The sequence below is a fragment of the Homo sapiens genome, chromosome 3 (genome assembly GCF_000001405.40).
Source record: "Homo sapiens chromosome 3, GRCh38.p14 Primary Assembly".
Taxonomy (NCBI): Eukaryota; Metazoa; Chordata; class Mammalia; order Primates; family Hominidae; genus Homo; species Homo sapiens.
In genome coordinates, this window is record NC_000003.12 from 5,814,798 (window position 1) to 5,832,662 (window position 17,865).

Below are 17,865 nucleotides of genomic sequence, written 5' to 3' on the forward strand. Positions count from 1 at the left end.
GTTGAGGTTTTGACATATATCAAGGGACTATTTCACCTCTGTATAGTTTGTATAAATTTTAGATTTTCATACATGTGGGGTTTTTCTACTCTTATTTAATGTTATTATGTACCTTTATCCTAATAATATTAAAAATATTTTGCTAGCATCATTTTTAATGGCTACATGCTATTCCACCACAGAATTTTCCTGCAGTTTGCTTAATGATTTTCCTATGTTGGACATTTCAGGTATTACTACTCTCTGCTGTTACAAATAAAGTTCAGGAACATTGGTGACTAATTTTAGTGTTGCATCAACCTAACTGACTGTAAGTCTTCTGTCTTAAACACAGACCAAATCAGGCCAGGGTGAGTAAAGTTGGAGATCCCTTAAGCACATGCTACAGAGTCCCATGTGCCCGGAACATCAAAGACTCTCTCATTGTCTCCTACAGCTTGCCCCAGTAAGCAACCAACTACACGTCCCATTTCTTTAGGGTGTGATAACATCAAGAATATAAACAGGTACTTTAAAATGGTTTTATTATGTACAAAGATTGAAATATTTAATAGACCAGTGTTGAATGTTGAGAAGTCATGATACTACAGGAAATAATAGCTAATTTTGAATTTTTTCAATACCGAGCCCAAGTGGTTCTCTTTAACTGTGCCAATTCTGCCCATATCTCTAAAGTGGAGTCTGTACTCTGGACTTCACCTGCAGAACTGCAGAAGCTGAGAGAGTGAGTCTCATGGAGAGGTTGCCCTAGAATATATTTCAAGCAGCATCGATCCCACACAAAAGTAATCTCTTAATCATCTTACATAGAGCTCTGATCATGTATTCTTTATGCTTCAGATTGTGCTATTTTTATGGTTTGGACTCCTCAGGACTTTCTGAAATCTGAACATATATAAAGAGAATCATCTTTCTTTATATATGTAGACATTCAAGATTCTATGGTGGTTTTCTATGAATATGAAATCACAGATATCTGTTAGAGTGTGTGTAGTGCAATATTTTTGGAAAAGACATAGTCTAAGATTTTACGCTCATTGAGAGAAAGTGATTTGATTTTTCTATTGTTTGAGGTTTGTTAAAAAGTTCTAGAAATGTTAATAATACATTTTATTAACCCGATGAAAGCAACCTCTTGAAACATAATTCTGGTGATCAGTATATTTACTGGGTATCATAAATTCATTTTAGTATTAACCCAAATTCAAATTAACTTAATTATCTTTCATTTGAAAAAACAATAACACTTTTATGTCCTGGGATAGTATAGTGAGATCAAGTGAATTCAATTTGATTTGGTGATTAGATTTCCCAAGGCCAGGTCTATTTTTCTTGGCATGTATTGCCCCCTTGTCTCCTCCTTTTGAAAGCTTGATATTTTATTCTAGAAACCTAAACATATTTTCTTGTTGTAACCAACATCAATGCAATAACAATGACCCGATTTGTCAGTTTGTTCTTTTCAAAGAAAAGAACTATTAATCACTGATAGAGAGTGTTAAACCCCTGATACATTAGATAAGCTACGCCCAAGTGTTGTTTTCACAATATCTGTTATACTCCTGAAAATTACTGTGGAACCTAAAGAACTTTAGTTCATGTGAATCATGCCTATTGATATTTACCAAATTAAAAATTAAATTTGACAAGAAATATATTTTTTGTAATTCTTATAAACCTATTACATGCTAACATTAATAACAGTTATATTAGAAATAAAACTTCAATATTCTAAAGCAAAAATTAGAAGAGTGGCATTGTTTCATATTTTTTTTTTGATTTCTTTAATGGCTGGCTTAATAGAAGCCAGCTAGATTCACATCTGCTTCTGCATTACATTTATTTCAATATGTTATTTTGGCTGATGTATAGGAATAAAACCTGGCCTCACATGCGTAAGTAGCTGAACAAGGGAGATGAGTATTTTAATATCCTGTGCATAGATAATTGTGGATGATCTTCTTTGATACTATAACAAAACTTGACAAGTGGTACTTTCTTAAATGTTAGTTGCAATGTGGAATCTGAAATATTATCAATGAACTTTTTGAGCTCTGGTTTATTAATCTTTTATCTTCCTCATATTTTAAGTGGTCCTTTTACCCATAAACAGTTTACAGCATCATGCATTGATATTTTGAAGGATATTGGTTCACTCTGTTATGCACATTGTCAAGACTATTGTAATAGGAAGGCAAGACAGAGCTCAACTCTGAATACAGCAAGACAGTTGGGGATTTACAGCCAACAGGCAGAGTCTGTGCATGGAAAATTACTAAGAGGAGACATCAAGAATAGGGAGAGTCTTGCTAAACCAACTTAACAGGATTCTTACTGAAAGCAGGTCAAAGACTTAAACATCAGTGGGGTGATTCTCATTAAACTGACTTAGCAGGATTTTTGCAAAAACTGGGCTGTGCAGGCCTGGCAAGAATGGGAGCCAAGGCTGAGGATTAATTGAGAAGAGGGCTCAGAGGGTCCTGACTAAAGTTTGGTCAAGAAGATCATCTGTGTTAACATCTTTCAAATGTTGACATATTTCATTATACAATTTCAGAAATCCACAGTTGTTAACACCACAACTAAATTCATCAGAAAAGTCTTTAAGTTTCGGGAAGCTGTCATGCTGATAGTGGCAGAGATTTCCAATGTTCTAATTTTGACTTTAAGGCTCAATTTTATAACTGGTGCCAAACACTGTTCACCTTTTCCTTGAAGTGACAGGCTCACTTTATTTATTTATTTATCTTTAGAAAATATCTGTCAAATGCACAATGCTGAATAATCGTACTCTGTCTATTGTTCTTTTGAGTAAAATTGATGTTCCACATGAAAGGCAGCCATTTCAGCCAGGTAGAAGAGCTTTCTCTCAAGATAACCATCACATTTCATTATGCAGAAGTATATGAAAGGATATTACTTCCAGGTATGTGACTTAAATGTTAAACAGGTGTACTCAAGGGTTAAGATTTAACAACTTTTACTGCTTTGTCAAGGACAATCTTAGGCAAAACTGGCACTGAAAAAAAATTGCAAGTGCATTTTGGTGCAGAATACAATGAATAGTAGTATGGTTTAGTTTCAGTGTTTTGATTTGTGCTAACGCAACAGTAGTCTTACCCACCATAGCTTTTGCACCAATTAATAAAAATGTCAACCAGCGAAAAAGGCTTCGACCGTCTGAATATTTTTAGGAAAGTAGTTTTGACCTCATGGACCCCATGAAAGGGTTCTGGGAACTCCCAGGGTATGCAAACCAAACTTTGAAAACTACTTAGATCGTCAACATTTGGAAAATGATTTCTGCTGTACCATTTTATGCTAACCTTCAATTTTGCTAATTTCCCAGGGGCCTGTGGGGGTTCTGGTAACCCATTAGCATTCTTTTGAATGTGTATGTGTGTGTGTGTGTGTGTGTGTGTGTGTGTGTGTGTAGAAAGAGAAAATAGAAAGTGCAAGAAAGAGTGGGAGTGAGAGTGAGAGAAAATGGGAAAGAGAGACAGACAGAGATAGGGAAAGACAAGCAGAGATAGAGATGCATGAAAGGCTGCTGTAAAGGAAAAGTGACCAATGAAGATGTACTTCTTTTACTTTCAGACTCATTCAGGCATATTGTTTGCTTTAGCTTAGCTCCTGACAAATACAGAGCCTGAGACAAATGTTTGCATACAGGTAATTTGTTTGGGAATATAATCCTTTAGAAAGCAGGGAAGGCCAATAAGATTCCATTTTGATTTTTTGAGATGGCTCCTTAGACCTCCTTTCTGAGAGACTGGTGCTCAATCTTGCCAGAGTCTTCAGAAAATCCTTACAGTCATCTGCCCAGGAGAAGAAAGGGAAGCATTTATTTGTTGATTCCAATACTCCATTGGTTAAGGGTGGCTCCACAGGCATCAATCACTATGTTTCCATGTCACTTGTGTTTTCAGCCTGGGGAGTTAAGAGTGGTTCTACCTGAGCCCCATGTTATAGCACTAATGAAATCCAAAGGCAGGAAATGAAGGGTATAAGGGGCAGGCTAGAAGCCTTGCAAAGGCCAGAGGAAGACATGAAGGTGAGCGTTTGTAAGAAGTATTCACCATGCTGCTTTTGCCTACTTCCATGACCATGAGCCTGAAGCCTTCATTAAGACCTCCTAATGAATTCACCATCACCTTGCTCAGTCTTGGCCCATATTTTTGGAAGTACAGTGCTAAGGTGGAATCTCTGAAGTAATATATGTGAAACTACCTGTCAAAGAGTAGGCACTTAATTGATATATGTCATGTGCGAAGCTGTCCATGTCCTGCATAGACATCTCTGAGCAGACAGACCAAGCTGCTCTGATATAACTATTATAAGCTAGAAGGAAAGTTCATATTCGGTTGGCTTTATGAAAACAAACAAATAAATAAGAGAACAACTCTACCAAAACAATCAGAAAAGTATTCCTAGTTAGTATCTGTATGGATTCACAATGCCATATTTTGTAAATGAACATACAAATATGAGTTAACAGCTACTGGGAGGGTGAGGCAGGAGAATCTCTTGAACCTGGGAGGCGGAGGTTGCAGTGAGTGGAGATCGTGCTACTGTATTCTAGCCTGGGTGAGACTCCGTCTCAGAAAAAAAAAAAAAAAAGAAATAGGAGTTAATACTTACGGTACTTTGAGCTTGGTCATCCTCTCTTGAAAAGAGGGACTCTGGGCACTGCTGAGTTGTTTCCAATTTATACTCAATGGTACTATTTGGCTTTAATGAACCAATCTCCGAGTTTAACAAGCTTAAAAATGACCGTGTTCTCAGAAACAGTTGTCCTAGCTTAGGAATTTATTCCAAGAAATTATTCAGAGATAAGTTCTAAATTGATGTATAAGAAAGAATTATTTTAATGTAACTCATAATCATAATTTGAAAACAACCTAAGTGTCTCCCAAATAGAAGTTTTAGGTAATTTATGGTAAATGGTAGCATGAGATGTTTTGTAGACATTAAAATACTGTTTTAAAAATGGGAAAATCCTCCTAAGTGGCCTGATATGAACACAGGTTATGAAAGTGCATATTCAAGATAACAATTGTGCTGAAAAAATATGTACATGGAAACTAGAAAAAAATGCACAAATTTTAACACTGCTTACCTCAAAGTTGATTTGTGTTTTACATTATGCTTGTCAATATTTCCCCCATTTTTTATTTTGAATATGTGATACATTAATATCAGAGAAAAAGGAACTATTAAGAAAATACTGGGGGGAATGCTAAAAAGAGCATGGCAAACAGCTAACTGGCCACTGTGATTGAGAGATCAAAAGCAATTCAACAGATATTAAATATTTAACATGCTAGCCTACTTTCTTTTGCCTTCATTCTGTCACCCATGTCAGGTTTAGACTTTGTTAGGATCCTTTTCTTCTACCAGAATGCATTGTAGTAGAGCTGATCAAAACACCCATACTCTGACTTTCTTGGAAGTCTGCCGGTGGCCGACTATACCACCATTTCTGTACTTTCAGGCTCCAATAACAGCAACTTCTGCCCGTGTAACAGGAAACTCTAGACTTTCTGGCAAGGCTTTTCTTGCCATTTGATGTTGCTGCAACATCCCAAGATTCTGGCTGGACCCAAGATGTATCACATAAGGCAGGAACAAAGCCAGCAGGGGCAGTAATCAATGCTGAACAAGTTTGGTCTAATATTTCTTCTGTAGTCACACTCTGCCCTATGAAGAGCTGTTCTGTCATCATCCCTCATAACAGCTAGAAAGATACCTGGCTCAATCCATTACTGGAAAGAGTGCTGTATTTCTTATATAATCTAAAAATCCAGAGGATAGTTTAAATATTTCTTTACTGCTCAAATGTGCCCTCTGTCTGTGTCCATCCTGTCTCTCTCGAAACTCCCACGTGTCCTTCTTTTCTGGATCCCTTCCCTCCATTTTTTAATTACCCCTTCTCCTGTGAGGTCTGGCTTCTTAATTCTGCTGCCATCTCTTGTAGGTGTTTAGAAAACTTCAAACTTGCAGTTGCCCCATAAAATCAATTTGATATGAAATTACAACATTCTTCACAGTGGACCTATAGGACAAATCTCTTTTTTTTTTTTTTGCTAAAATTGATCAATTCTTCTAGAATATTTCTCTGGATTATAGGGAGGAAAAATTAGTACAATAATGGATAGTTCTTACAGAGAGTCAGAACAGCATTCCACTTAAAACAAGACATTGACTTCTTCAGTCCCTCACCTCTTGATCAAACTATGATTAATGTTGCTTTAAGGAGCATAAGCAGAATTTCTTATTAATTTTCAAGTATGGTTAGTTCTCCACAAATGTTAAAGGTTGCTTTTTTAAAAGCAACCTTTATAAGAAAATGAGAGACTGAATAATTTAAAAAATATACAGACATTTTTGTGTAAGTTGAAGAATCAAATTTGGAAACGATCTAAAATTGAAATTTCATAGGCCGGGCGCGGTGGCTCACGCCTGTAATCCCAGCACTTTGGGAGGCCGAGGCGGGCGGATCATGAGGTCAGGAGATCGAGACCATCCTGGCTAACACGGTGAAACCCCGTCTCTACTAAAAATACAAAAAATTAGCCTGGCGTGGTGGAGGGCGCCTGCAGTCCCAGCTACTCAGGAGGCGGAGGCAGGAGAATGGCGTGAACCCGGGAGGCGGAGCTTGCAGTGAGCCGAGATCGCGCCCCTGCACTCCAGCCTGGGCGACAGAGCGAGACTCCGTCTCAAAAAAAAAAAAAAAAAAAAAAAAAAAAAAAGAAGTTTCATATAAATGTATATTACATTCATCAAACAATAAAGTTACAACATAACTAAAGAGAAAGCAATATCACCTGGAATTAGCAATAATGGTGACTGTGTTATGAATTTCTACCTATGATCTCTGTCATGCTAAAAACTTAAAAACCTTTGAGGATTTTTCTCCTCCAAATATTTAGGATGTTTGTATAACAAGTGTCAAGAGGAGTCTCCTCTTATTGGAGGATATAAGCCAGAGACTTTTGCTTTTTCCAATTACCTGTTAATTGTAATATATTGAATGCACCTGGATAGAGGCAACGTGCAGAAGAGCATCAACAACATCAAACTAAAGAAGGCTGAAGTGAAAAGTCATGGGGATTCTTTGGAATGTTAATGCATAATTATGAGACAGTTTGGTTGAGAACTGACATTTGCGCATAAAGCATATATGTCACCCTCAGAGTGTTCAGTAGCATTTGTCTGTACACCTTTTAGGACTTGAACTATACTCTACTTTATAGTATCACCGTTAGTTTACTTTATCACATTCGCAAGATGCTAAACGTTTTAAGCACATAATTGTGACTGAGCACCCTCAGGTTTGGACCTCTTGCTACCCTGGGTGTTAGTGTAGCAATGTAAATGCAGTCACTATCACAGCCAAGTCTATATTAGTCCATGTGGCACTTTTGTGTGAGTTATAAAAGTCAGGTGCTGCCTCCAGGTAGATGCATCCCTTTGCTAGGGTGTGCACATTGGTGATCCAACTGTAGTCTGGATTTCAGCCCCCATCTATTCCGCAAATTGGGTGACCATATGCAGGGAGCAGCCTACACAGCCATGCAGATGTCCCTGATCATTTCTCACTAATTTGTAAAGTAAACATGACTTCAAGGAGCCAGACCCAGGAGAATTATCCCTCAGGTGTTGAGCTAGCTTTAATCTGTGGTACCTGGTACACATTTTTAAGCTCTTTAAATCCAACTGGAAATGGAGAGATATGGTTAAGGCAACTGGAAAGTCTAAAGAATGCCACGTAGGATCTACTCTTCAAATCACATTACAAATATGCTCCACAGAGTCTTGTTGCATAATTTTATAGCTACTCTTTATTCTTCCGAAGCACCAAAGTTGTTGTAGAAAGTAAATACATTAATTGGACCCTTTCTAGTCCTAAAAAGTTCAAGGACAGTCTGGGGCCTTCCATAGACATCAACTGCTTTTAGAGAAACCCTTCCTTAACTCTTCATTTATATACCTAGCTGCAATGCATTACTGATTCGAGACATACCAGGTAAGGTGCTATTATATAGAGAGCATAAACAGGTGTAATAACCAACATGCCAATATGCTATAATGGGGAGAAGCCTTTTTTATTATGAAGATAAAGACAGTAATTATAAGAAATGTGTGCCTTATAAGCTTCAGTAAAGTGACCTTCCTCAGATTCAGCACCAAAACAAAGAATATCACTTTTCCTCTGTATGAACTTTGTCCTAAGCTCTGTCAACAGTTGAGCCAGAGCTTTGTTGATTGCTCAGCTGTCCAGAAACCTACCAAAAAGCCTGTTGATAAAGCAAAGCTGAGTTTATTAGATTTACTGCAGTAGGGCAGAACACCACCTTGACAGAATCTTAGAAGTGCTTTAGACAACTGAGGTCAGAGAAGATCAGTTTCAAGGTTTTGAGGTCTAGAATCAAGAGGTTCAAGCTAGATCTTTCAAGAAAGAGCAATGATTGAGAATGGGTAAAATTTGTATTAGAATAATAATTTGGAGTTGCTGAACACTTTAAGGTGAGGCTCTTAAATGAGTCTTGATAAGTAAATTCTTGTCTGATAATGAATAGTTTGCCCAGATAATGAAACTGTTTTTCTGAGAGAAGAGCTATCTAATGTCCATATGAGCCCACCATTTGCTAAGATAAATTGAATTGCAATCATTTTCTGAAGTTTCTTACTTGTTTAAAATCTTATCTTCCTGAATGATAATTTCCTGGAGATAATTTAGTCATATTAACAAAGGCAGTCTCAGGTCTCTGTCTTCTGTTCCCATTTGTTAACCTATACTATGGGCTCTTGACCCCAGAAGTCACCTCACAACCCTCACCCAGCAGATCTATCTCGTGTACTATGGGATTCCATTATATCTTACAGGTTCCCCCATTTCTGTCCTTATCATACTATATTCTAATTGCCTCTCTTTCTAGGTAAACTATGAGCAACTTAAGGGCAACAATTTTCTTTTTTTTTTCTTTCAGTACCTCTAAAATATCCTGAGACATTCTAGATCTTAAAAAAAATATAACTTTGGAATGAATGATTAACTTACGCTATTTCCTCAAGGTCAACATTAGCTATTTGGTATTGGTCTATCAAAGGATAGTTGAAGGCAGTTGTTTCAGATTTGGACCTCACCTCTGTCATTTATGTCTCTGATGCTCAATTTCTCTATTTGTAAAATGAGAATGCATATAATGGTTAACACCACTCTTGAGTACACAAATCTCCAATTTATTGCTGTGTTTATAATATGTCAAGAAATGTGCTAAGCGTTTACATAGATGATCTACTTTATTCCTCACAATAATCCTGGGAGGCACTATGATACAAGTTTTATATGATGAATAAACTGAGGCTCAGAGAAATTAAATAATTTTCCCAAATTCACATAATCAGAAACTGTAAGACCAGAATCTTCTGATGAGAAAAGCCAGATTTCAACCACTTCATTAGATTTCCAACCACCTCGTGGGTATTTTAACATGATTTTATGAATTTGGAAGTAAGAAGCTTGAATTTATCTAAATAAGAATCTTTACTATATCATGTTCAGCACGAGACTTATGGTCTGTCTTACTGCATACCTCACACGATGGGGTAAACAGAATCTTAAGAGTCAGTCTTCCATGATGGAAACGTTGTACTTACAAAGAGGTGTTAATGTTGAGTTGAATCCAGCCATCTTGAAATTTCTACCTAGAGTGATATGTTTTACCTTTTGTATATAAACAGAATAAATTAAATCATTCTTTTTTGCATATCCACACATTACAATTAAAAACACGTCTCATGCTTTCATAATCTTCCTTCTGTACCACCCTAACCAAACTATCTCCTCTCAGATTTAAGCATTCCCACCCTACTCAGGTGTTCTCCATATACCATCATTGGGTTTGAGCACCTGTCTGTCAACCTGGGGACATTAATCTGGGCATGTTATAGATTAACAAAAATATTTTCTATTATGCTCCAAACTGGACATAATACCACAGGTGGTATTATGTTTGACCAGTATAAGACAGGGATAATAAGAGTATCCAGCATATTATGGTTTCTGTTGCCCTTCAGGGGTAGTTATACATCCTGTCTTATTTTGGCAAATAGTTATGCCACAGAGGGTTGATTTCCGTGTTCCTAAGGTCTTAATTATGGAAGATAGTTTTTCTTTTTGGGGCTGCTATCTTCTTACTCTTCTCTCACTCTCTTTGGTCAACGCCTGCTCTCTAGATTAAATGCAAAACCAATTCCCACTCAGAGGGAGGCAGAATTTATGAACGGAGGTTTTTGTAGTGAGACTACATAAAATTTAATCTTTGGTTTGCTACTTACTATCTCTATGAGCTTGAAAAGTTCTTTGACCTCCCTGAGCTTCAGCTATGTCATCTCCAAAGTGGGAATTCTAATCCCTTCCCTTTTGGTGGTGGTATACATGTTAAATTACAAAAGGTAGGTAAAATGCTCATCTCAGATCTCAGTCCCTGACAAATAGTAAAAGGTAACAAAAAAGATAACTGTTGTTTTTAAATCAAAATAATTGAAAATTTTAACAGTGATCTTCCAGTAGCTGGGTTATATCTAAATATGTAATCAAATAGTTTATAAAGGAATTACCACGGTCTCAGGGCCTTCATCAACTCTTTGTAGCCACTGATTTTTGCAGTGACAAAAATAAACACATTTCTTCAATTCTCAAGGCTTTGATAAAAAGATAAAAAACAAGGTTCCTGCTATGTCTGTGTATTTGTACTCATGTTTATATATAACTTCACAATTGAGTTTTAAAATTTTTCCAGCTCTTATTTGCTAATGACCCTGCACAGTGATCACATAATAAGTTATTGAGAATGTACTGGTAATAGGCCTTATTGCCATTTTCTAAATTCAGGTTACTGTAATCTGTCTCCTAGGCTACAATAATACTTTTTTAATCTATGTAAATTTCTTTGAGACTCAGTAGTCCCAGTTTTTTTTTTTTTTTTTGAGACAGGGTCTTGCTCTGTCGTCCAGGCTGGAGTGCAATGGTGTGATCTCAGCTCAATGCAACTTCCACCTCCTGAGTTCAAGTGATCCTCCACCTCAGCTTCCTGAGTGTCTGGGATTACAGGTGCATGCCACCATGCCCGGCTAATTTTTGTATTTTTGGTATAGACAGGGTTTCACCTTGTTGGCCAGGCTGGTCTTGAACTCCTGGGCTCAAGTGACCCACCTGCCTCAGTTTCCCAAAGTACTGGGATTACAGGTGTGAACCACTGGGCCCAGCCAGTAGCCCCAGTTTGAAATGAAAACGATAATACCTATCTTACCTGGATGCTTATGAGGATTAATTCAAATTTTTGTATATGACATAGTAGATATGTGGCTAATAAGTTTTCTAAAACTTAATTCTTTACCCCTACTTGTTAGGGGGAGCTTGATAATATGATGCTCCTGCTACCTATTATAATAAGCACAAATATATAAGCATAACCTGATAAATATATGTCCCACAGGTGATCCCTACCTTTTCAAATTTAACATGTACACACCTCATTATTTAGCTTTCAGAAGTCTCTTTTTTGTTGTTGCAACTATGAGTGTGAGGGCAGAAAGACAATCTTGTTTCCACACTTAGTATCATATGTTAAATATTTCCATTATTTAAGCTGCATTTTGGAACAGTTGCCTGAGGTTAATAGCAGGAGATTATTGCAATTTATGTTCTGAATATACATCTCAGTTCCTATGGGGGAGGAAGGTTGGGAGAGAACTTCTTGATTGCAGTTAAAAATTCTGATTTCCCTCCCTCTGCACGACAATTACAACTGCTATCAGTGTGTCAAACATGTGGGATATGCCTCCCAAGAGAGCAGACCCCACAGTTCCTTCAAACATCAAATGCAGTGACATGACAGATCAAAAACAATCAGTTGCTTTCTGTTTTTTAAAATATATATGACAGTCACATTCATACCAAATGATTTCAACAAGATTAATGTTATTCAAGTCAGTACCTAGAAATTAATCATTTCACCACTATTTTAGTGTTAACGAGACACTTTAGTGGAATCATTTGACAAAGACTATTCACATTAAATTGAGAGGAGAGGCACAGATGTCAAAAGCTAATTAGTACCGGAAAAATTCTATAGAGCATTCTGAGTTGAGTTTTAGAAATAGGATCTATGCCTTTGGAAGTTTCTCTTTTGCTTACTTTACTCTTGGGTCCTGGCCTCTGTCCTCTTAGGTAACATCCAAAACCCGGCTAGGATGTGTCATCTCCCTAGATACTCCTGTTTTAAAAAGAAGCACTTTCAGAACACAATTAAAAACAATCATCATTATCATTACAGATAATACAATAAGTGTTACCATGTTATAGAAACTATGCTTGGAATATTAGGAATACCATTATTATCCCCCTTCTTCAGCTAAGAAAAATAAGATAAATAGACTTGTTTAAGGTCAATTTGCTTAGGCAACAACTCGTTGCTTTTTTTTACTATTCTAAATCTTTAGTTCAATTGCTGTTTCAGGACTGTTTCTTTCTACTATGACATGTTCCTTTAGAGAAACCCAAACTCAAGTTTCTCAAATGAAATCAACAGTGACCTGGTAGGTAGTGAAGTTTAATTTTTAGGAGAGAGCCACATATTCCTTTGAAATAGTGTATTAATCAGTCCTAGAAGTTACATTGGGTTTTATCATTTGCCCTTATCTGCTGAGAATTATCAACTTTTTGCATATTATGAGCATATTTTCCTTTGCCTCACTGAGCATAGTTATAATAGCTGCTTCATTGTAATTGTCTGCTCATTCCAAAATTTAGATAATTTGGATGATTTTCTTGTTTTAAATGTTAGTCTTACAGTCCTGTCTCTTTGCATGTTGAGTAATTTCTAATTTTATCCTGAACGTTGTGGAAGTCATATATTGTAGTTTCTGTATTCTGTTATATTCCTCAGAAGAGCATTAAATTTTGCTTTGGCAGACAGTTAACTTGGTTGGGCTCAAAGTGAATACTCTGCCTCTTGGTTAAAAGCTGAAAACTCAATTATTTTATCTGAAAGTTGGTTGCTTTGTGTTTGCCCCACACGTGTGTGGTTTGGGGCTGAGCCAGAGATTGGGCAGAGAATTTTGGTGTTTCTTTTCTAGCTCTCTTCTTTCTGTGATCCCTCTCACTTCACTTTCCAGATATTGTAGATATCCCAAAATAATTTGTCCTCCTGTCTTCTTTCCACGATCTCTTTCACCTCACTTTCCAGATACTGTAGATGTCCCAAAATAATTTGTCCTCTTGTTCTTCAGGGTTTTCAATCATGGGTTTTTCAATCAGAGTTTTAGACTCCTTTCTTGGCTCTTACTGTGGATAGTTTAAAAGCTAGAGAGAGAAAGAGAGAACGTTGAGTGCTGTTCCTTTCTTCCAGGTTTTGATTTCTTCTCATCCTTCCCAGAATCTGCCTGCTCTTGTTCACTTTTAGGGCCTTCAGGGAGTTCATTTTTGTTTTATATCCAGAATTCATACTTTTTGTCTATGGGAGGCTTGATTTGATAGTTGCTGACCTGTCCTATTCTCTTTTGAGATTAAGAGCAAGCTAGAAATCTTTCCCAATAAACATAAATGTGCATGTGCAAATGAATATGCACAATAACACATACGCAATTTATGAGGCAATTCTGTGGGGTAAATGCATCCATGTACATGTGGTGGATCTCTGTTCAAGAGTCCTCGGTTCCTGTGCATAGTGCTGAGATTACAAAGTTTACCAAGATGTAGTTTTCACCCTCATAGATTCCTTGTTTAGAGCAGGGGTCAGCAAGCTTTTCTTCAAGAGCAAGAGAGTAAGAATTTTAGGTTTATGGGCTGGCTTTATGACCTCCATCACAACTTCTTCAATTTTGCTGTTATAGCACAAAAGCAGACATAGGCAATACATAAATTATAGGCATAGTTATATTCAAATAAAACTTTATTTTAAAAAATAGGCTACAAGCCTATGGACTGTATATACTGTCCCCTATTCTAGAAGCAAGACTGCAAATAAAAATAAAAATAGTTTAATAAGAGCATCAGTGTTAAAGAGAAATCCAAAATAATAAAACGAGAGACTGTGATTACTAAGGGAAGATACTGGCATTGAGACTCTGTTTAAAAAGCAAAATAAAATAGCATAAACATCACAAAATTGGTTTCGTCTTCTTATAGCCAAGATCCAAACATCAAACAACAGCAAATAAACCTACCCCTGGCTTATGCATAGTAACTACCTCTTCATCAATTCTGCAGACTGAAACTCTAAATCCTGTTTTGAATTAGCTGTGGCATACAGTTTCACACTGTTTTGTGACTATGTACCATCTTTATTCCACACTGGAATATGAGTTAATAGTACAAGTGATGGTGGGGATATATTCAGTTATTAACTTGTTTATGTGTCCTTATTCTTATTGTGGCAATTATTACTTAGTACTTGGACAAACTCATCTGAACAGATGATGGGGAAAAATTCATCTTCATCAATATCCATAACCTAGAGTAGAATAGGAATAATCTCTTAAGAGATGTATACGCTGTACATTAACATTTTATAGGAATGAAAAATCATAAGAACATATCTAAGTGAAAGAACTAGTATGAATTCCATGGGGAAAAATATTTAAGCTGCGTTTTAACAGTTGGATAGATTTAAAAAAACAAAAACACGATAAAAACATTATTCTTCTAGTCTTTTTCTAGAAATTGAAATAATACAGACTTACATGGGGAAGGTGATCCCTTACCCCCTTTTCCTGATCCCCAAATTCTTCTGCCCCTTTTTTGACCTCTGTTCTGTTCCTCCCTCATTTCTCTTTAGGAGGAGAGAATACTGATGTCATCTATTCACACATATTAGTGGACAGGGTCATTGTGGAAGACAGAACAAGTGCTCATGTTTTCCCATCTATGTGGTAGAATGGCAATCTAATTATCAAACCTACATGCCTACTGGACATTGCTTTTGATTTCTGTACTTGTGTCCATTCAGAAAGTGGTAATGTTTCCAAACGCTGTAGTAATATTCCCAGTTCTTGGAGATATTGATGATTTGCTTCCAGACCACTGCAATAAAGCAAATATTGCAATAGTAAGTTGCACACATTTTTTGCTTTGCCAGTGCATATAAAATGTTTACAAGGTAGTCTATTGTAATAGCATTGTGTGCAATAGCATTATGTCTAAAAAATACACATACTTGAATTTAAAAATGCCTTATTGCCAAAAGTACCAACAATCATCTGAGCCTTTAGTGAGTCCTAATCTTTTGGCAGGTGTTGCCTCAGTATTGATGGCTGCCAACTGATTACAGTGATAGTTGCTGAAGTTTGGAGTGACTGAGGCAATTTCTTAAAGTAAGACAACAATGAAGCTTGCTGCATGAACTTACTCTTTCATTCACAAAAGATTGCTCTGCAACATGTGATGCTGTTTGATAGCATTTTACCCACAGTACGATATCTTTCAAAAGTGGAGTCAATCCTCTTAAACCATATCATTCTACCATAAAAACACATGCACACGAATATTCATTGCAGCACTGTTCACCATAGCAAAGACATGGAATCAACCTAAATGCCCATCAATGACAGACTGGATAAAGATAATGTGGTACATATACGCCATGGAATGCTATGCAGCCATAAAAAAGGAGATCATGCCTTTTGCGAAAACATGGATAGAGCTGGAGGCCCTTATCTTCAGCAAACTAACACAGGAACAGAAAACCAAGTACTGCACGTTCTCACTTGTAAGTGGAAGCTAAATGATGAAAACTCATGAACACAAAGGAGGGAACAACAGACACTGGGATCTACTTTGGGGCCAGGGTTGGAGAAGGAAGAGGAGCAGAAAAGATAACTATTGGGTACTGGGCTTAATACCCGGGTGATGAAATAATGTGTACAACAAACTCTCATGACACATGTTTACCTATGTAACAAAACTTCACATGTACCCCCTAACCTAAAATAAAAGCAAAAAAAAAAAATCCCCTTAAACCCTGTTATACTTTATGAAGAACTACAATTATGTAATATTCTAAATACTTTGTTTTCATTTCAACAATATTTGTAGCATCTTCACCTGGAGTAGATCCACCTCAAGGAATTCCTTTCATTGCTCATTCATAAGAAGCAACTCTTCATCTATTCAAGTTTTATCATGAGATTGCAGCAATCCAATTACATTTTCAGATTTCACTTCAAATTCTAGTTCCCTTGCTGTTTCTACGAGATATGCCATTACTTCCTCCACTGAAGCCTTGGGCACCTCAAAGTCATCCATGAGGGTTGCAATTAACTTCTTCCAAACTTCTATTGATGTTAATATTTTGACCTCCTCCCATGAATTATGGATTTTTTTAGATTTATTCTTAATTTTATGGGTACATAGTAGGTGTTTATATATATAGGATATATGAGATGTTTTGATACAGTCATACAATGTGTAATAAACATATCAGGGGAAATGGGGTATCCATCACCTCAAGCATTTGTTATTTCTCTGTGTTGCAAACTTTCTAATTATACTCGTTTCATTATTTTAAAATGTTCAATAAATTATTTTTGACTCTAGTCACCCCGTTGTGCTATCAAATACTAGATATTATTCATTATAACTATATTTTTGTACTCATTAGCCATCCTCACTTCCTCCACCCCTACCTGCATAATATCCTTCCCAGCCTCTGGAAACCATCATTCTATTCTCTGTCTCCATTAGTTGTATTGTTTTAATTTTTAGCTCACACAAATGAGTGAGAACATGTGAAATGTGTCTTTCTGTGCCTGGCTTAATTCACCTAACATAATGTCCTCCAGTTCCATCCATATTGTTGCAAATGGTGGTATCTCATCCCTCTTTATAGTTAAATAGTACTCCATTGTGTACAAGTACCACATTTTTACTTTTCCGTTTGTTGGATGACAGACACTTAGGTTGATTCCAAATCTTAACTATTGTGAACAGTGCTACAATAAACATGGGAGTGCAGATATTTTGTCGATATACTGATTTCCTTCCTTTTGGGTATACACCTAGCAGTGGGATTGCTAGATTGTATGGTAGCTGTAATTTTAGTTTTTGAGAAATTTCCATACTATTCTCCATAGTAGCTGTACTAATTTACATTCCGACTGATAGTGTACGAGGGTTTCCCTTTCTCTATGTTCTCTCCAGCATTTATTTATTGCCTGTCTTTTGGATAAAAGCTATTTTAACTGAGGTGAGATGATATCTCATTGTAGTTTTGATTTGCATTTCTCTGATGATCAATGATGTTGGGCACCTTTTCACATATCTATTTGTTATTTGTATGTCTTCTTTTGAGAAATTTCTATTCAGATCTTTTGCCCATTTTTAATCAGACTATTAGATTTTTTTTTTCTGTTGAGTTGTTTGAGCTCACATATTCTGGTCATTAATCACTTGTCAGATGGATAGTTTGCAAATATTTTCTCCCATTCCGTGGGTTGTCTCTTCACTTCATTGATTGTTCCCTTTGCTCTGCAGGTTTTTAACTTGATGTGAACTCATTTGTCCATTTTTGCTTTGGTTGGCTGTACTCATGTGGTATTTCTCAACAAATCTTTGCCCAGACAAATATCCCAGAGAGTTTCCCCAGTGTTTTCTTTGAGTAGTTTCATAGTTTGAGGTCTTACATTTACATATTTAATCCATTTTTATTTTATTTTGTATATGGTGATAGATGGCATCTAGTTTCATTCCTCTGCCTATGGATATTCCAGTGTCATTTATTGAAGAGACTATTCTTTCTTCAGTGTATGTTCTTGACATCTTTGTTGAAAATGAGTTTACTGTAGATGTAAGGATTTAGT

General features: G+C 36.5%; 1 long non-coding RNA gene across 4 annotated transcripts in view; it reads left to right on the forward strand.

The window, feature by feature from the left end:
• Positions 1-242: 242 nt before the first annotated feature.
• The window catches only part of LOC105376941 (uncharacterized), a 28,394-nt gene continuing 10,771 nt past the window's right edge, over positions 243-17,865 (forward strand). For 3 of the 4 annotated variants that reach the window (XR_001740586.2, XR_001740588.2, XR_001740589.2), the window contains exons 1-2: positions 243-506; positions 2,813-2,926. This is a non-coding gene — a long non-coding RNA (uncharacterized LOC105376941). The remainder of the gene's footprint in view (positions 507-2,812; positions 2,927-17,865) is intronic. The other variant, XR_001740587.2, reaches the window with a different exon arrangement.